We start from the raw sequence: 18,935 nt of genomic DNA on the forward strand, positions 1-18,935 counted from the left end.
TAGAGGCCTCTCCCATCTAAAGCATCTTTGTAACTGCTTTCCCTTTCCCCACACTGCCTACACATAAAGAAGCCCCTAATTTGTAACAAGTCATTTGACAACTCCAGAAGAGGGGCCACATCCTTTTTCTCTATGTCTGTTGATTAACAAAGACAACATTATGTTTCCAACACCAGTCAGACCAAGGGGGAAAAAAGTCCCCATGACTTCAGTAATTTTCCATCCTTTGGAACAAGGAAATATACACAAAAGGTTTACTATAGAATGTAAGCATTGCTTTTAAATGATGCCAATCTCTCTTTTAATGTGGCCTAAATCCTAAAATTTAAAGTGTGATAAGCCGGGCGCAGCGTCTCACACCTGTAATGCCAGCACTTTGGGAGGCGGAGGCGGGTGGATCACCTGAGGTCGGGAGTTCAAGACCAACCTGACCAACATGGAGAAACCCCATCTCTATTGAAAATACAAAATTATCCGGGTGTTGTGGTGCATGCCTGCAAATCCCAGCTACTCGGGAGGCTGAGGCAGGAGAATCGCTTGAACCCAGGAGGCAGAGGTTGCGGTGAACCGAGATTGCGCCATTGCACTCCAGCCTGGGCAACAAAAGCAAAACTCCGTCTCAAAAATAAATAAATAAATAAATAATAAAATAAAGTGTGATAGTGTCCTTTCTTATATTTTAAGTAGACACACAAGCCTTAATATATATGTAAACCATAAATATCATGGCCAACTGTTCAAGATTGGGCTCTCACACTAACACACCTCTTCCTTGCAACTTGCACCCAATTTGACTCTGGTCCTAGGCATGCTGACCTGAAATAGTTGCTGGCTGCGGCAAGCACCACGCGGTGGCAGGAGAATTCCTGAATGTCCACACACAAGATGACATCTGTCAGAGCGTTTTCCATTCGCAGGGTTTCCAGGCCATTCTGAAGAATTAAGGAGAGTCCCGCGTCGTCAAATTTGACCTTTTCCCCATTTAAGATCTCGACCAAGTCTCCTGTTTTCTGGGAGGGCTCATCTGTAGAAGGTGCCAGGGGCCCTTCCAAACTCTTCTCGACCACATCACCCATGGTCCAGGCGCCCCTTTGTCCTGCCATCAACATCGAGACTGAAGGAGCGCCCAAGTGTCAGGCAGGCCCCATTGCAGGAGCTGAGCGGATTTCCTGTGCAGGGCCCTCCACTTATCACCAGCTGTCACACACACATAACAGGAAGTCTCGCACTTTCTCATCCTGTTACTACAAATGCCAGCAACTTCTATTCTTCTTCTTTCTGTGAGTAATCACAGGGTTAGAAATTACTTAGAATAGGTGTGTGGGAGGGGGTTCTGGAAGAGGAGTGTCCTCTCAGAGTCCACTGTGAGTGCTGTGTGTTTATTTTGGTGCATCTCCCACCTCATATCCGTGAGCAGGAAGCCTCCGGTGGTGGCTGTTACATTTGTACTCCTAATGCTATCAATAACCCAAGTCGTCAATGAGGGGATGGACAGGAGACAGTCTATAATCCTCCTGCTTCACATTTGTACTCCTAGTGGCTCAATAACCCAAGTCGTCAGCGAGGGGATGGACAGGAGACAGTCTATGATCCTCCCACTTCCTCCTCCCAGGAGTCTGAGACCCCACAATGATCCAACAACCGTGCTTTGTAAACCATGGAAACCCCACTTATCCCTGACATTCTCATTTCTGGCGGCACTGCAGATCGTCTATCTTCATCCTCCTCCCTACCCAGGGGAAAACAACGTCATGGCAAACTTTCATGTCTTCCCCCACCAAAAAAAATGTCTATTGTTTCGAATATGCTTTGGGGGCACAGAAGAAATGGTTTCCAAAACTCCATCAACAGCATCTTCTCAGAGGATGAGTCAGGGTGGGTCTACACCGAATTGCCATAGCACGTCTCAGATTAGCCCAACATCTACTGACCGTGCATCTAACGGTGGATCCTGAAGTATTTTCATTACCTCTGCATGTCTCAGTTAAGTAGTAATAACTGTCATTATTAAAATCCCATGATATCCTGGGGAAGTTATAGGAGCGTATCAGTTAGCGTTCTCTCACGCCCAACAGTAATGCTTTACCAGGTTGCTAGGTATTTCTTAGCCCAGCAAACTTGACATCTAAAATTAACCATTACAATTACAGTCATACCCAGCATAATGATATTTCAGTCGATGATGGACTCCAGAGAGACAGAACCAAAAGGATACCTAGAGAGGCATAGCAGAGGGAAATTATTAGGGGAATTGGCTCACGTGATTATGGAGACTGAGAAGTCGCATGACAGACTGCTGAGAGCTCAGTTCAAGTCCAAAGGCCTCAGAACCAGAGAAGATGGTATAACTCTCAGTCCAAAGCCAAAGGCCTGAGAATCCAGGGGGTGGGGAGACTGGTGTAAGTCCTGAAGTCCAAAGGCAGGGGATCCTGGAGTCCTGTTGTTCAAGGCAGGAGATGACTGTATCCCAGCCTCAGGAGATAGAGACATCGACCTTTCTTCTGTTTTTGTTTTCTCTGGGCCCCTGGCTGATTGGATGGTGCCCACCCACACTGAGAGTGTATCTTCTCTACCGAGTCCACTCAGACTCACTAATCTCTCCTGGAAACAACCTCACAGACACGCCCCATGGTAATGCTTTAACAGGTTGCTAGGTATTTCTTAGCCCAGTAAACTTGACATCTAAAATTAACGGTCACAAGTACAGTCATGCCCAGCACAATGACATTTCAATCGATGATGGACTGAATATACAATTGTGGTCCCAAAAGATTATAATGGAGCATATAAAGAAACCTGACGGCCGGGCGTGGTGGCTCATGCCTGTAATCCCAGCACTTTGGGAGACCAAGGCAGGGGGATCACAAGGTCAGGAGCTCAAGACCAGCCTGAGCAACATGGTGAAACCCCCATCTCTACTAAAAATACAAAAATTAGCCAGTCGCGGTGGCGTACACCTGTAATCCCAGCTACTTGGGAGGCTGAGGAAGGAGAATCGCTTGAACCCGGGAGGTGGAGGTTGCAGTGAGCTGAGATTGTGCCATTGCACTCCAGCCTGGGCAATAAGAGCGAAACTCTGCCTCAAAAAAAAAAAAAAAGTCATGGAAAAATAATGCCATTCACAATGGTAATAAAACATATGTAAATGCCTAGCAATAACAGCAACCAGCAACATAAAGAAAACTAACAAACTTTACTAAGAGTTTCGAAAGAAAACTTAAATAAATATACCAAGTTCCTTTATGGAAAGACTAAATATTATTAAAAGGACCAATTCTTTCCGAATACATTTATAGGTTTATTTTACTCTAATAAAAATTACAAGAAAATTTGGAGTTTAGGTTTGTTTGTTTGTTTGTTTTTGAGACGGAGTCTTACTCTGTTGCCCAGGCTAGAGTACAGTGGTGCGATCTCAGCTCACTGCGACCTCCGCTTCCCAGGTTCAAGCGATTCTCCTGCCTCAGCCTCCCAAGTAGCTGGGACTACACGCATGCACCACCACACCTGGCTAATTTTTTGTATCTTTAGTGGAGACAGGGTTTTGCCATGTTGGCCAGGCTGGTCTTGAACTGCTGGGCTCAAGCGATCCACCCGTCTCGGCCTCCCAAAGTGCTGGGACTACAGGCTCACACCACCGCACCTGCCCCAAGTTTAGGTTAAATGTAAATGAACAGTATCAAGATAGGTTCAAAGCACAGTGGGACTATCTGTAAAAGGATAAACATTAAGTCTAGACTTTACAGTGGACCCAAAGTCTTTTCTCCCTGGAAACTACAAAATTGAGATAGATGTGGAATGTTGTATTCAGAAGCCCCGTATCTGAGTTGGAAATTGAGACTGCTTCCCAGTGTCAAAGTGATTTAGATCTTCCAGACAACTATGAGATCTCATTCTTACTGACACAATGGCAAACAACAAAGTTTCTGATGGTCTGTGATTTTTAGAAAACAATTTTTCTCAGTAAGAATAAGTAGTCACCCACGAAGGGTATCCTTATGACACATTTATAATTGCAAGGAGTCACTTAAGGAAACGTTATTTCTTTTTAACGTTTCATCTGTGTCTGACTTCCTAGCCTGATGAATGGGAGGGCAGATTTTTTACTTTCCGATCTGACCTAATCTTTGAAGAAACGTTGTTTCTTTTTAATGTTTCATCTGTGTCTGACTTCCTAGCCTGATGAATGGGAGGGCAAATTTTTACTTTCTGATCTGACCTAATCTTTCCTTTCTCGCCCTTTTTAAGATTAATAGTCATGAATTTAAATTGAGACCTGGCAGGCGGCCAAGGTCAGCTTCCAAAAGTTATATGCTTGGGCCAGGTGTGGTGGCTCACGCCTGTAATCCCAGCACTTTGGGAGGCCAATGCAAGAAAATTGCTTGAGCCAAGAAGTTCCAGACCAGCCTGGGCAACATGACAAAACCCCATCTCTACAAAAAATATAAATAAAAAAATTAGTCATATATGGTGGCATGCATCTGTAGTCCCAGCTACTTGGAAGGCTGAGGCGGGAGGATTGCTTGAGCCCAGGAGGTGGAGGCTGCAGTTAGCCATGTTCTCACCACTGCATTCCAGCCTGGGCAACAGAGCGGAGACCTTGTCTCAACAAACAAACAAACAAAACAAAAAAGCAAAAAAAAGTCATATGTTAAGCTGTGTTCAATGGAACTATGGAGGGTCGGCTGGCGACGGTGGCTCACGCCTATAATCCCAGCACTTTGGGAGGCCGAGACGGGCAGATCACGAGGTCAGGAGATCGAGACCATCCTGGCTAACACGGTGAAACCCCATCTCTACTAAAAATACAAAAAATTAGGCGGGTGTAGTGGCGGGCGCCTATAGTCCCAGCTACTTGGGAGGCTGAGGCAGGAGAATGGTGTGAACCCAGGAGGCAGAGCTTGCAGTGAGGCGAGGTCGCGCCACTGTACTCCAGCCTGGGTGACAGAGTGAGACTCCGTCTCAAAAAAAAAAAAAAAAAAAACTATGGAGGGTCCAGTTAGTTAAACTGAATCTGCCCTTAGACTTCAGTGTCAAGGTGAAGCAGAGATGAAGCCAGGTGAATGAAGGAGACTGAGGTAAGACAGGACAGGAGGGTAGGAGGAGAAAGGTGGGAATTCAAGAGGGTCTAAGATTTTTGCATATGTCAGAGCTGGGCTCCAGGACTCCCACTTGGCCCCACTGGTGGCCTCCTGCTTAGCTAAGAGGGCCTCACTGAAAGAGGTAGGGTCAACACAGATTCCATGCCATACCCTATCCCCAGCTTCTGTGACCTTTCTCCTATACATAGATATCAAACCTTACTCCCTAGTCACTCTCTTCTGCTTTATATATTTTAATGCTCTAAATCTCTGTTCAAAGTACGGTGTTGTTATATCCTTGCTATTGATTGTACCTTTTATTAGTATTAAATATCCCTGTTTATCCTGTTAATTTTTTTCTTTAAATAATTTTCTGATTTGTCTGGAGTTTCTATTGCCACTCCTGCTTTCTTTTCATTTACTTTTCCTAATATATCTTTGCCTGTTCTTTGTGTTCTGGGAAATAGACATCTTTTCTTAATGTTTCTGATGGTTGTAATGATGTTTCAACAAATAGTAAGCCAATATTTATCTAATTATCACAGCACAAAGCTTAGAGATAACTTGGATAATCTCCAGGCTTGGATAACTTGGATTATCTCTAGGCTCTGTGCTACAATAACTAGATAAACATTGGTATCCAACTGCTTACTTAACATCTACACTTGAGGGTCTAACATTTGAGGCATCCTCCAACTAAATACATCCCAAGCCAAAACCTGGATGGAACACACCAAACATGTCCCTTCACCGGGCTGTGTTTGGGTAGGGACACGTGAAAGAGATTTGGGGTAGTTGGCAAAGTTCAATTTCTTGACCTTAGTGGTGTTTACAACAGTATTGTGTGCCTTATAATAATTCACTAAGCTATACATTTGTTTGTATCATTTTCCATGTTTTATTTGACAACACAAAGGTAATAACAACCATAACAATAATAGTCAACATGCATTGATGCCAGCACTTTGCTAGTTAGTAGCTGAATGGGACTGCAGTTCCAGACTTCCAGCTCCTGAGCCAGCGCCTGACACCCCACCCCATGCTGAAGGAGCACACTCAGGACTTCACGTCTTCCTGATAAGTGTGAGGCAAATGAAATATCCACCCATGCCTCAGACAAGACCAGCTTTGCCTGCCATCTTGTGGCCTCTTTCTGGTTCCAGTTAATACCTGAGGGCCCAGAAAACAGAGAAGCTGCAGCTTTTACCTCAGGTCAGGGTTCCTCTGAGTATCCTCAGCTCCCAGGTAGAGTGTGCCGGCCTCTCCCAATCGCGGCCTCCCGCAGACGCCGCTGGCCTGGCCTCTTCCTCCGCCTGATTCAAGGGTGCCCAGTGCTCCCAGGCTCCTGCTCATCAAATGCCTGGCCCTGGGCTCCTCAGGCCAACTCCTCTTGCCAACCACATCCCGTCATAATAATAACGAAAGATAGATGCCTTCATCCAAAACAATGACACGGGGTCTGCCTGAATCCCAAACAGGAAGTTGGGAAGTTGCCGGAGGAGAAAGACAAGCCTGATGGAAGTGGTGAGCCCAAATATCAAAATCCAAGAACAAAGCAGAACCCAGAGCCAAGTGTTTTATAATTTCATCCAGAGGGGATTCTTTTTAAAAGAGCGGCATTAAGGCTTTATTTCCTCTTACAAATTCTGCGTACAACACACGCTTTCCATAGCATAATGTTTCTAGTCAACGTAATAAAAGGCTTGTCATATATGAGTTATAATTTTTTAACTTTCTATTCAGGACCACCCAGCCTGGTCCCTAGGCGTTACCCTGACATGTCCGCTGCGGACCTGAACTTAGGAAAGCCAGGTATTCCCAAGACCCCTACCAGGTGGTTCTGAGCAACCTCTCCTTAAAACAATGTCCGCAAAATGGTGGAAGTAAGGCCGGGTGTGGTGGCTCACGCCTGTAATCCCAGCACTTTGGGACGCTGAGGCGGGCAGATCACTTGAGCTCAGGAGTTCGAGATCAGCGTCTCTGCCAAAAATACAAAAATTAGCAGGGCACAGTGGCGCATGCCTGTAGTTTCAGTTATATGGGAGGCTGAGGTAGGATTGATTGAGGCCGGGTGCTATGGCTCATGCCTGTAATCTCAGCCCTTTGGGAGGTGGAGGTGGGCAGATCACTTGAGGTCAGGAGTTCAAGACCAGACTGCCCAACACGGTGAAACCCTGTCTCCCCTAAAAATACAAAAAAATTACCCAGGCATGATGGTGGGGGCCTATAATACCAGCTACGCTGGAGGCTGAGGCAGGAGAATCACTTGAACCTGGGAGGTGGAGGTTACAGTGAGCTGAGATCACACCACTGCACTCCAGCCTGGGCAACAGAACAAGACCTAGTCTCAAAAAAAAAAAAAAAGAAAAGAAAAGAAAAAGAAGGCATAGAGGCAAGAGATGGTAAAAGCCAAGGCTGACCGTCTACCCTCAACAAGTAGTGAAATCAGGGAAGTTTGTCCTTAACAAACCACATCCCATTTTTCATCCCACCCCAAAACCCCACATTTCTTTTATTAAAAAATTAACTTTTGCTGGGTGTTTTTCTGGTTATGAAACAATAATAAGTTACCTTGTTGAAAACCTGGAAAATTCAGAAAAGAATCAAAATTAACATTTGGTATGCTGCAGTAGACTTGTACTGACCCTAGGGAGTTGATTTTGTGCATTTCTTCCTCACTTCAAGGGCAGTGACTTGGTGTTGGTTGAAATTAGCCATGATAGGGATATTTACACCATAGAAATTGATAAATGCTATGAATCAGGGCTTTGTCCTTGAGAGCCAGTTGCTGAACATTCACTATCACCCCACTGTGACCCCACCCTCCTCTTTAGATTGCCGAGGTCCTGCGGCCTCCTTGCATGTGCACCTCCCTCCAGCTCCAGTTCGGGCTCTACTCTTGGATTTCAGAGAGATTCTGCCTGACCCCCTTTTCATGAAGTAGATTGATTGTGTCTCTGCTCCTTACAGGCAAACGCACTTACCCGAAACAGAGGCAGAGCAGTATTGGGACACTCATCTGCCAGGCCCAAATGCTGTACCACTCTTCCTCTGCAGACCCCAGTGTGGTCCTCACCTCCAAGTTCTCGCTATAGAAGCCACATCTGCTCCCATCAGCAAAAAAAATAAAGCAAAAAAAAAGCCACTTCTGCAGCCCAGCTTGGCACCTTCCAGCTTCTATACCTGCCCTGAGGCCAATCTAGTTTTCTCATAAAGGGAATTTCCCGACAGATACTAACTTTTGGACCATCCCATGTAGCCTCACGCTTGTCCCAGGATGGCGTTGTGTCCTGGTTTGCCTCTTGACCAGGCTTGCCCAAGTTATTAAGGGGTCTGGTGGCAGCCCTAAGGGAGCTAGCCTTCCGGTTTGGAGTTCATGGAAGAACACTGTCTCTGGAAGGAAGTGGGAGGAGCAAGGCAAGACTCCAGTCCTAGAGGAACAGCAATACAAGCCCAGAGAACCAAGGACTGCAGACAGGCATAAGGTCAAAGTAAGGTCAGTTGATTATAGTTTCAAGGCTGGGCACGGTGGCTCATGCCTGTAATCCCAGCACTTTGGGAGGCCAAGGCGGGCGGATCACCAGGTCAGGAGATTGAGATCATCCTGGCCAACATGGTGAAACCCCATCTCTACTAAAAATACAAAAATCAGCTGGGTATGGTGGCACGCACCTGCAGTCCCAGCTGCTCCAGAGGCTGAAGCAGGAAAATCACTTGAACCAGGGAGGCGGAGGATGCAGTGAGCCAAGATTGCATCACTGCATTCCAGCCTGGGCGATAGAGCGAGACTCCGTCTCAAAAAAAAAAAAAAGAGAAAAAAACAAAACAAAACAGGTCAATGCCTCAGTTTCATATACCTACAAATTGGAAGTAATAATAGTATCCACCTCAATGTGTTATAGAAATAAGGAAATACGTGAAGCCTGTAGAACAATGGCTGGCATATATTAAGCACTATGTAAGCATTAGCTATTATTATGCAAACCCTTCTGTAGAAGAAAAAGTGTGTACATTTGATTCTAAATCAGGCTTCTGGCTTCAGACCAAAAACTCCTTCAATGCCCTTTGTTAGTATCTACAGGCCATCTATTTTTCCCATGTTATCTTGGATCATTTTCACATAGTCAGTGTAGATGGGTCCATACACCACCACCTCCCCAGGGAAATAAAGATTTCCATCACCCAACCCTCTGCATCAGAACATTATTCTAACCAGAGTCATAACAATCCGTAGAAGGATTTATCCATCTGGGACAATGTTCCTTTAAAGAGCCTGAATTAGAGAGCCATTTTGAAAAAAAGTATTTTATAGATGATACTAGTACTAAGAGCACCATTTATTGAGATGTTACAAAGTGTTCTGTGTACCTTTCCTCATTTTATATCCTTTTATCCTGTAACTTGATAAAATAGATTATTTTCCTTTTTACAACTGAGGAAACCCAGGCTTAAAACCAAAGTTGGCTGTTTTGTCCCAGGTCACACAGGTAAGTCAGTAGTAGTGTTTGGCCGCCCATGCCCTATTCTAATGAAAAGTTACCAGCCCACATCCTCTATTCCCCAGGAAGCCATTTTCCGGTACCACATGACTCAGCTGTTTCCCCTTATTACTTGGACTAGAGTGAGCGCCCCCCACCCAAAGACAGCCAAGTACAGAGATTAGTTCAAGGACACGTACAGCTGGCTCAAAAATGTCAGATGGGGCCTCACCTGATGCCTCATGCCTGTAATCCCAGCACTTTGGGAGGCCAAGGCAGGTGGACAGCTTGTGCCGAGGAGATCAAGACCAGCCTGGGCAAAATAGGGAGGCCCTGTCTCTACAAAAAATTTGTTAATTAGCTGGATGTGGTGGTGCACGCCTGTGGTTCCGACTACTCAGAAGGCTGGGGCGGCATGATCTCTGAAGCCTGGGAGGCGGAGGCTGCAGTGAGCCATGATCACACCACTGCACTCTAGCCTGGGCAACAGAGTGAGACCATGTCTCAAAAAAAATCAGATAGAACCATTGGAGTCTCTCTCTTCCTCCCTCCCTCCCTCCCTCTCTCTGAAATTTGAAATAAGGAACACAGAGTTTGCCATTTGGCAGCAGAAACAGGAGGCAAAAGGATTCATCAAGAGATCCACGAGGTAGGGTCAGAGCCATGGCAAGCTAAAGCCCTGTGCAAGCCAAACTTCTGAAAAGCAAAAACTGTTAGTAAGCAGAGGGACCCAGAAGGCATAAAAAGGAGACTGAAGCCAATATGCAGAAAGTAGCTGAGACAGGTCACCCTGAGGCTGGGTGGAAGGAAGACCATGGGCTCCTGTTGCTGAAGTCCTGAGCCCACTGTGGATCTGGACCCACCCTCCTGCTCCAATGAGGGCTCTGCTCATGAATTTTAGAGAGATTTCTGCCTGGGCCCACATTTCTCAATGTGGCTTGATTGAGACTCTGTTCTTTTCATCCAAATGAGCCTCCCTGAAACAGAAGCAGAGCAGTGGTGTGGAGTTCATCCATCTGACCCCACATACTACCTCTGCGCTCCCATCCTCCACAGACCAGAGATGTCACCAGGTGCACTGATGGGCCCTAGGAAAGGATCAGATACCATAGCTGCAGCCAGTGCTAATTCAGGTCTGCTATCCATATCCAAATCTAAAGTGTACTTTGCAAATGAAGAGTCAAGGAGTAAATGGGAAACAGCAAAAATTCCAAAAAGTGGATTTTGTCAATAAGAACAGCCCCCGAATGTTCACTTATTGCTAAGGGGAGGAAGCTATAAAAAGCTAATGTACATTATGACCAGGTGCAGAAGCTCACGCCTATAATCCCAGCACTTTGGGAGGCCGAGGCAGGTGGATCACTTGAGGTCAGGAGTTCAAGACCAGCCCGACCAACATGGTGAAACCTTGTCTCTACTAAAAATAAAATTAGCCAGTCTTGGTGGCATGCACCTGTAGTCCCAGGTACTCAGGAGGCTGAGGCAAGGGAATCACTTGAACCCAGGAGGTGGAGGTTGCAGTGAGCTGAGATCGCGCCACTGCACTCGGCCTGGGCGATAGGACCAGACTCCATCTCAAAAAAAAAAAAGTAATGTACATTATGTTGCCATTTTTGCAAATATGATTATGTGTGTGTATGTATACACACACATAATCATATTTTCATATATATATATGAAAAGACCACAAGGAAAGGCCTTCACTCATCATCAAATATTTAATATTTAGTGATATAATGGTGTGCAAAAATCTGTTCTCCAGATACAATGCTGAACAAAAGTGACACAGTTCCTACCCTCAAGGAGCATACAGTCCAATGAGGGAGATCAATCGTAAGAAAAAAACACACACATTGCAATCATTCTAAATGCCATGAGGGAGATGCACTTGGTGAAGAACCTTTCTCAGGGGCAATTTGACGTGGTCAAAGAGGTCAGTGAAGGCCTGTTTGATGACCAAGATGTGATGGGAGAATATGCACCACCCACATGAACAGCAGGGAAAAGAGTTGTCCAGGAAGAGGCTACAGCAGGGGCAAAGCCCCATTGGAGGAGAGACTACAGCAAGTATAAGAAACTGAAAGAAGGCCAAGTGGTTGGAGTGAAGAAAATTTGGGCTGGGAATGATGTGGGATGGGAGAGGTAGGCAGGGCCAGATTATCCAGGGTCCTAGGGACCAGGTTCAGCAGTTTTGTCTTTATCCTACAAGCAATGGGAAACTACCAAGGGACTGGGGGAGCAAGTGGGGTGGGGTGTGGAAGATATAATCAAAATTTGCAATTTGAAAATATTTGTCTCAGTATGGAGAACAAATTACTAAGGGCCAGCACAGATGAGATAAAAGAGAAGAGAGCCAGTCCAAAATCTATCACACTAATCCAGGTGGCAGGTGATGGCAGCGTGAACTGGGAAGTAGTGCTAGGGACAGAGACAAGTAGATGCATTTGAGGGCAATATCAAAGGCAAAATCATGGCTGGGCACAGTGGCTCACGCCTGTAATCCTAACACTTTGGGAGGTCAAGGTTGGCAGATCACTTGAGGTCAGGGGTTCGAAACCAGCCAGGCCAACATGGTAAAACCCCATCTTTACTTAAAAAAAAAAAAAATTAGCCAAGCGTGGTGGCGGGCACCTGTAATGCCTGTAACTCCAGCTACTCAGTTGGCTGAGGCAGAAGAATAGCTTGAACCTGGGAGGCGGAGGTTGCAGTGAGCCAACATCACACCACTGCACTCCAGCCTGGGCAACAGAGTGAGACTCCACCTCAAAAATAAAAAATAAATAAAAAATAAAAAACAAAGCTAAAATCAATAAGACTTGGTGAAGGATTGGATGTGGAAGGTAAAGGAACAGGAATTTTCAAGAATGACCTAGGTTTCTAGTGTGAACAGCTGGATAAACAGAGGTACCAACCCTCTGAAATGGAGAACGCTGGAAAGGAAACAGGTTTGGGGGTGAAGAGTATGAGTTAATGCTTGGTCATGCTGAGTCTGGAGAGTTTGTGACATTCAAGACGTGCTATCAGGTAGGATATTTAATATGCAAGTTTAGAACTGAAAGACATTTGGGTCGGAGATATAAATTAGTGTGCCAAAACTTTTAAAGCGGTTATTTCTGGGTGATAAGCTTTTGTATGTTTTTTTGTTTTATTCTTTGTGTTTTTCCATTTTTCCCAGGTTTTCAGCAATAAGCAGTGTTTGGAGTTTTTTTCTAAATGGAATCTAGAAAGAAAACGTAAAAATTCTCCTTGTATCTGTAGCAGAGGGTGCCAGGGACGGGGGTATACTCTGCTTCTCATAGCTGGAATTAGTGATCTCAACAGGAATGTCCCTAGAGTCTGGAAAGCCAAATTAGTTTGATGCTAATATCTCTTTGGCAACACGAAATTTCTCTTACATGGGTCTGCTCAGATCTAGCCATCTTCCATATTGCAATTTGGTGTCCTGAGCAGACTTATGCAACAGGAAATGGTTCACCATGTAGGTAGATGGTCAAGTTTGGGATCCAGGTGTCTCTCAGATAATTGAGGTGTTTTAAGGGCCCAAAAAAGCAGCAACCTTTCCCCCCTTCATCCTGGAGATGAACCAGCTGAGAAGTAAAACAAAGAGTTAGGAGATGAGTACCAAATACTTCGTTCTAGCTAAGTCGGAGAGCCAAACAGTATAATCAACAGATTATCCACACAGTTATGGCAACACTGAATCAGGGCTGGCTCCTGCCCCATCTCACCTCCAGAATTACAAAGCAGAAAGTGCTGTAGAGTAGCCACTCCCAAAGGTGGAGGAGAAGAAAAGGCTGGGCCATATACACAGCATCTATTTTCACCATTTTCCTTGTGGCAGAATGAGGGAGGAGTGTGAGAATGGAGAGAGGCCAGTAGTGTGAGGCTAATGCCAGGATACATCAGGTGTGGAAGCAGCATTCACGCTCACCAACACCCCTCTGAGTTAATGTATTTAGCATCAGGTTTTTTTTTGTTTTTTTTGTTTTTGTTTTTGTTTTGAGACAGAGTCTTGCTCTATTGCCCACGCTGTAGTGTAGTGGCAACATCTCGGCTCACTGCAACCTCCGCCTCCCAGGTTCAAGCAATTCTCCTGCCTCAGCCTCCCGAGTAGCTGGGACTACAGGCACCCACCACCATGCCTGGCTAATTTTTTGCATTTTTTTTAGTAGAGACGGGGTTTCACCGTGTTAGCCAGGATGGTCTCGATCTCCTGACCTCGTGATCCGCCCGCTTCGGCCTCCCAAAGTGCTGGGATTACAGGCGTCAGCCACTGCGCCCGGCCTGTATTTTTATTAGAGAGAGGGTTTCACCATGTTGGCCAGGATGGTCTCAATCTCTTGACCTCATGATCCGCCCGCCTCAGCCTCCCAAAGTGCTGGGATTACAGAGAATCAGGTTTATTAGTCAAGCACTACCACATACAGTGTAGTATGCTGTCCCACGTACATTTGGCTGGTCTGAGTCCCTGGTGACTAGCAACAGATCAACGTTAACTGATTTTTAGGAGAAGCAGAATTTATTAACAGAATATTGGGATGTAAATCTTGCTTGCATCTTGGATTTAAAAAGAAAAAAATCTGTGTTTATAGCAGCATTATTCACAATTGCCAAAAGGTGGAAACAACCTAAGTGTCCATTGACAGAGGATCAACAAAATGTGGTATAGAGAGAATGGAACATTACTCAACCTTAAAAAGGAAGGAAGTTCTTTTTTATATATTTTTTTATTTTTGTGGGTACATAGTAGGTGTATACATTTACGGGGTACCTGAGATGTTTTGATACAGGCATGCAATGTGAAACAGGCACATCATGGGGAATAGAGTCTCCATGCACTCAAGCATTTATCCTTTGAGTTGCAAAGAATCCAATTATACTCTTTAAGTTATTTTAAAATGCACAATTAAGTTAGCATTGACAATAGTCACCCTATTGTGCTATCAAATAGTAGGTCTTATTCATTCTTTCTATATTTTGTGCCCGTTAACCATTCCCACCTCCCCACCCCCAACTCCCCACTACCCCTCCCGGCCTTTGGTAACCACCCTTCTACTCTTTTTCTCCATGGGTTCAATTGTTTTGATTTTTAAATCCCACAAATAAGTGAGAACATGGGGTGTTTATCTTTCTGTGCCTGGCTTATTTCACTTAACTTAATGATCTCCAGTTCCATCCAAATAGTTGCAGATGACTGGATCTCATTCTTTTTTATGGCTGAATAGTAGTCCATTGTGTATATGTACCAGATTTTCTTTATCTATTCATCTGCTGATGGACACAGGTTGCTTCCAAATCTTAGCTATTGTAAACCGTGCAGAAACAAACACAGGAGGGCAGATCTCTCTTCAGTATCCTGATTTCCTTTCTTTTGGGTACATACGCAGCAGTGGACTTGCTGAATTATATGGTAGCTCAATTTTTAGTTTTTTGAGGAAACTCCAAACTATTTTCCATAGGGGTTGTACTAATTTACATTCCCACCAACAGTGTAGGAGGGTTCCCTTTTCTCCACATCCTCGCCAGCGTTTGTTATTGCCTTTTGGGTATAAGCCATTTTCACTGGGTTGAGATGATATCTCATTGTAGTTTTGATTTGCATTTCTCTGATGATCAGTGATGCTGAGCACCTTTTCCTATGCCTGTTTGCCATTTGTATGTCTTCTTTTGAGAAATGTCTACTCAAATCTTTTGCCCATTTTTTGATCGGATTATTAGACTTTTTCCTATTGAGTTGTTTGAGCTCCTTATCTATTCTGATTATTAATCCCTTGTCATATGGGTAGTTTGCAAATATTTCCTCCCATTCTGTAGGTTGTCTCCTCACTTTGTTGATTGTTTCCTTTGCTGTGCAGAAGCTTTTTAACTCGATGTGATCCCATTTGTCCATTTTTACTTTGGTTGCCTGTGCTTGTGGAGTATTGCTCAAGAAATCTTTGCCCAAACCAATGTCCTGGAGATTTTCCCCAATGTTTTCTTGTAGTAGTTTCAAAGTTTGAGATCTTAGACTTAAGTCTTTAATCCATTTTGATTTGATTTTCTTGTATGGCAAGATAGTAGGTAGGGGTCTAGTCTCCTTCTTCTGCATATGGATATCCAGTTTTCCCAGCACCATTTATTGAAGAGACTCTCTTTTCCCCAGTGTATGTTTTTGGCACCTTTGTCAAAAATGAGTTCACTGTAGGCGTGTGGATTTGTTTCTGGGTTCTAATAAAAGAAAGAAAATTCTGACACATACTACAATGTAAATGAACCTTAAGGAGATTATGCTAAGTGAAATAAGCCAGACACAAAAGGACAACTACTGCATAATTCCACTTATATGAGGGACCTAGAGTTCTCAGATTCATAGAGACACAAAGAATGGTGGTTGCCGGGGGCTGGGGGAAGGGGGAAATGGGTAGTTACTGTTTAATGGGTACAGAGTTTCAATTTTGCAAGATGAAAAATGTTTTGGGCTAGACTCGGTGGCTCTTGCCTGTAATCCCAGCACTTTGGGAGGCCGAGGCAGGAGGACTGCTTCACCCCAGGAGTTCCCAAGACTAGCCTATGCAACATAGTAAGACCTCGTTTCTACAAAAAAAAAAAAAAATCAGCCAGCCGGGTGCGGTGGCTCATGCCTATAATCCCAGTACTTTGGGAGGCCAAGGCGGATGGATCACCTGAGGTCAGCAGTTCTAGACCAGCCTGGCCAACATGGTAAAACTCCGTCTCTACTAAAAATACAAAAATTAGCCGGGCGTGGTGGCAGGCGCCTGTAATCTGAACCCAGGAGGCAGAGGTTGCAGTGAGCCGAGATTGTGCCATCGCACTCCAGCCTGGGGAGACAAGAGCAAGACTTTGTCTCAAAAAAAAAAAAAGAAAAAAGAAAAAAAATTCAGCCAGGTGTGATGGCTTGCACCTGTGGTCCTAACTACGGGGGAGGCTGAAGCAGGAGGATTGCTTGAGCCCAGGAGGTCAAGGCTGCAGTGAGCTGTGATGGCACCACTGCATCTATTCCAGACTGGGCAAGAGAGCAATACCCCGTCTCAAAAAACAAAAACAAAAACAAAAAAAAAGAGAGAGAGACAAAGAAAAAAATGTTTTGGAGATTGGCTGCATAATAATGTGTATGTACTCTAACACTGCTGGACCATACACTTTAAAATGTTAACATTTAAAAAAAAAGTTTAAAAAATCAGCTAAAAAAAGTACCTTTCTTTCGTTTGTTTTTTGTTGTTGTTGTTGTTTTGTTTGTTTTTTTTTTTTTTTTTTTTGAGACGGAGTCTCACAACGTCGCCCAGGCTGGAGTGCAGTGGCGCGATCTTGGCTCACTGCAAGCTCCGCCTCCCGGGTTCACGCCATTCTCCTGCCTCAGCCTCCTGAGTAACTGGGACTACAGGCGCCCGCCACCACACCCAGCTAATTTTGTATTTTTAGTACAGACAGGGTTTCACCATGTTGCTCAGGCTGGTCTCAAACTCCTGACCTCAGGTGATCCACCCATCTTGGCCTCCCAAAGTGCTGGGATTACAGGCATGAGCCACTGCGCCCAGCCACTTTTATGTTTTAAATTTAAAATGTTTGAGGGACCATATGGGGGTCACACAAAAATCCAGCATGGAGGAAGAACTAGACTTGAAAGATGCAGTCAAAAACAAGGCTCAAAATCACTCTAAAGGACTTGCCTGGCTAGGATACCACTCTCATCATCCCCCAGTGTGAGATGCTGCAGTTTGCACCACCGACCCTGCTGGTACCGGGCACTGGATGCCACTGCTACCTACACCCACTGTCATTGCTTCCTCAAGAACTCAATCTTACAACAACCTCCAATTGAGTAAATAAATCCCCCCAAGTGATGGTCACCTCTGGCTGTGCTGGTGCCATTAGAATTAATGTTGTGAACCTGATCAGCTAAGGACAAGACCAAGGTATCACACAGGGCAGGAAGTTAGGGGCCAGGGACTTCCAATCACTCTCATTCTGAAGCTGCCAATAGGCCTTTCCATCTTTAAGACACTTCATCTAGAGTAAAGAAATCTGTTCAAGTCTGTTTGAACTCTCAAGCTACAGAATTTTAATATATTTTTAGATGAGAGGGGGAAAATGAGGAAAATAATAGGTTAATAAAATCTGCTTTTTCACTCTACATTTCAAGGAAAGCTTTCATATATTTTCATGGGAGTATCGTCCACATTATTCAGAGATCGCTGAATTAACCAAAGTTCTTCTAGACTTAATGTCTTGGAACCTGAATATGACACAGTAGCTCTGATGTTTTATAATTCTGAAAAAAATACGTAGAAACATTTAACACATTTAAAAAAGACTTTCAGACAAGTCCCAGTTAGGGTTAACAGCACTGCTGCTCAGCATTGTAGACAGCATATATAAGAAAACGCTATTCAAAATGCCCTAAATAGCCAATATAATTTATCCATAATAAGTTTATCATTACACTAATCCTTCCAGGTACAAATATGGCAAGAGAAATTGAGGGTGGCAGGACTTAAAACTCCCTGCTCACTTCTGACTGTCCCACTGCCACTTTGCAAAGTGCTCCTTCAGCATGGTATGGGAAGGTATATTATCAGATTCAAACCGGAGACCGAAAATTTTAGCCATCACATTCTCAGAGAGATCTTTGGGATTTTGAGTGTTCAGACTTGGAGACAGAATCCTAGTGTGGGGAGAGCCAGAAGATCCATCACCTCATTTTAGGGGTCTTGGGGCCCTATTTGAGGAAGCAGGAAGGCAGACCGGTGCCCACTGGAAAGGGCGTGAACTCCAGAGTCAGACAGACCTGAATTTGAACAGCACTTGTAGCATCTACCAGAGTAGGGCCTCGGGTAATTTCCTTAAGTTTTTGGATCCTCAGTTTCTTCATCTATAAAATGGATTACTCATCTCATCACCTTGTTGTGGCTGTTAAATGAGGGCTCATTATGGAAAGTTCTTAGTACCGCACCTGACATACAGTAGTGCTAAATAAATAGCAACTATTAATAAATAACCAAAGTTTCAAACCCTAGGCAAAGAAGAACAGAGACATGAATTTCCTCCAGACATAATGAAAACCATTTTGGCTACTGACTGACTGACATGTAAATTATTTCTAACCCTCTCAAAATAACCCACTTTAACGGGAAGTCATTTCTATGTCTAAATTGGACAAAGTGCACCCCTTTCACCAGGCTGCCCCTTTCTCTGTGGGCTTCGTTCTGAGTCATCACCATGTCCAAGAAAATATGAACAAGGAGGACTTTTAAACTGGCCCCTTTCCGGAATTTGAGTTTAAGCAATATTTATCAAATGTCAAGCATGTGCCAGCCACGGTGCTAGACACAAGGAGATATAGAAGTGAATAGCTCTGCCCTCAAGGAGCGTCCAGCCTCAT

General features: G+C 44.5%; 1 protein-coding gene across 2 annotated transcripts in view, besides 3 other annotated features; it reads right to left on the minus strand.

Annotated features, from left to right (window-relative positions):
• Positions 1–1,162, minus strand: part of KLHL6 (kelch like family member 6) — a 68,156-nt gene extending 66,994 nt beyond the window's left edge. For both annotated transcript variants that reach the window (XM_011513274.4, NM_130446.4), the window contains exon 1: positions 817–1,162. In XM_011513274.4, coding sequence (XP_011511576.1) covers positions 817–1,109 — 293 coding nt within the window. In that variant the 5' untranslated portion in view covers positions 1,110–1,162. The remainder of the gene's footprint in view (positions 1–816) is intronic.
• Positions 6,131–6,180: a silencer, noted in NCBI's record as "silent region_14942". NCBI's record gives its function as "represses an Ori minimal core promoter by ATAC-STARR-seq in GM12878 lymphoblastoid cells {active_cell/tissue: GM12878}" and the evidence as "EXISTENCE:reporter gene assay evidence [ECO:0000049][PMID:35858748]".
• Positions 7,996–8,496: an enhancer, noted in NCBI's record as "H3K27ac hESC enhancer chr3:183280328-183280828 (GRCh37/hg19 assembly coordinates)". NCBI's record gives its function as "activates a minimal SCP1, AML or CMV promoter by ChIP-STARR-seq in naive H9 embryonic stem cells {active_cell/tissue: H9 hESC(naive)}" and the evidence as "EXISTENCE:reporter gene assay evidence [ECO:0000049][PMID:30033119]".
• Positions 8,497–8,997: an enhancer, noted in NCBI's record as "H3K27ac hESC enhancer chr3:183280829-183281329 (GRCh37/hg19 assembly coordinates)". NCBI's record gives its function as "activates a minimal SCP1, AML or CMV promoter by ChIP-STARR-seq in naive H9 embryonic stem cells {active_cell/tissue: H9 hESC(naive)}" and the evidence as "EXISTENCE:reporter gene assay evidence [ECO:0000049][PMID:30033119]".

The sequence above is a fragment of the Homo sapiens genome, chromosome 3 (genome assembly GCF_000001405.40).
Source record: "Homo sapiens chromosome 3, GRCh38.p14 Primary Assembly".
NCBI classification, from domain to species: domain Eukaryota; kingdom Metazoa; phylum Chordata; class Mammalia; order Primates; family Hominidae; genus Homo; species Homo sapiens.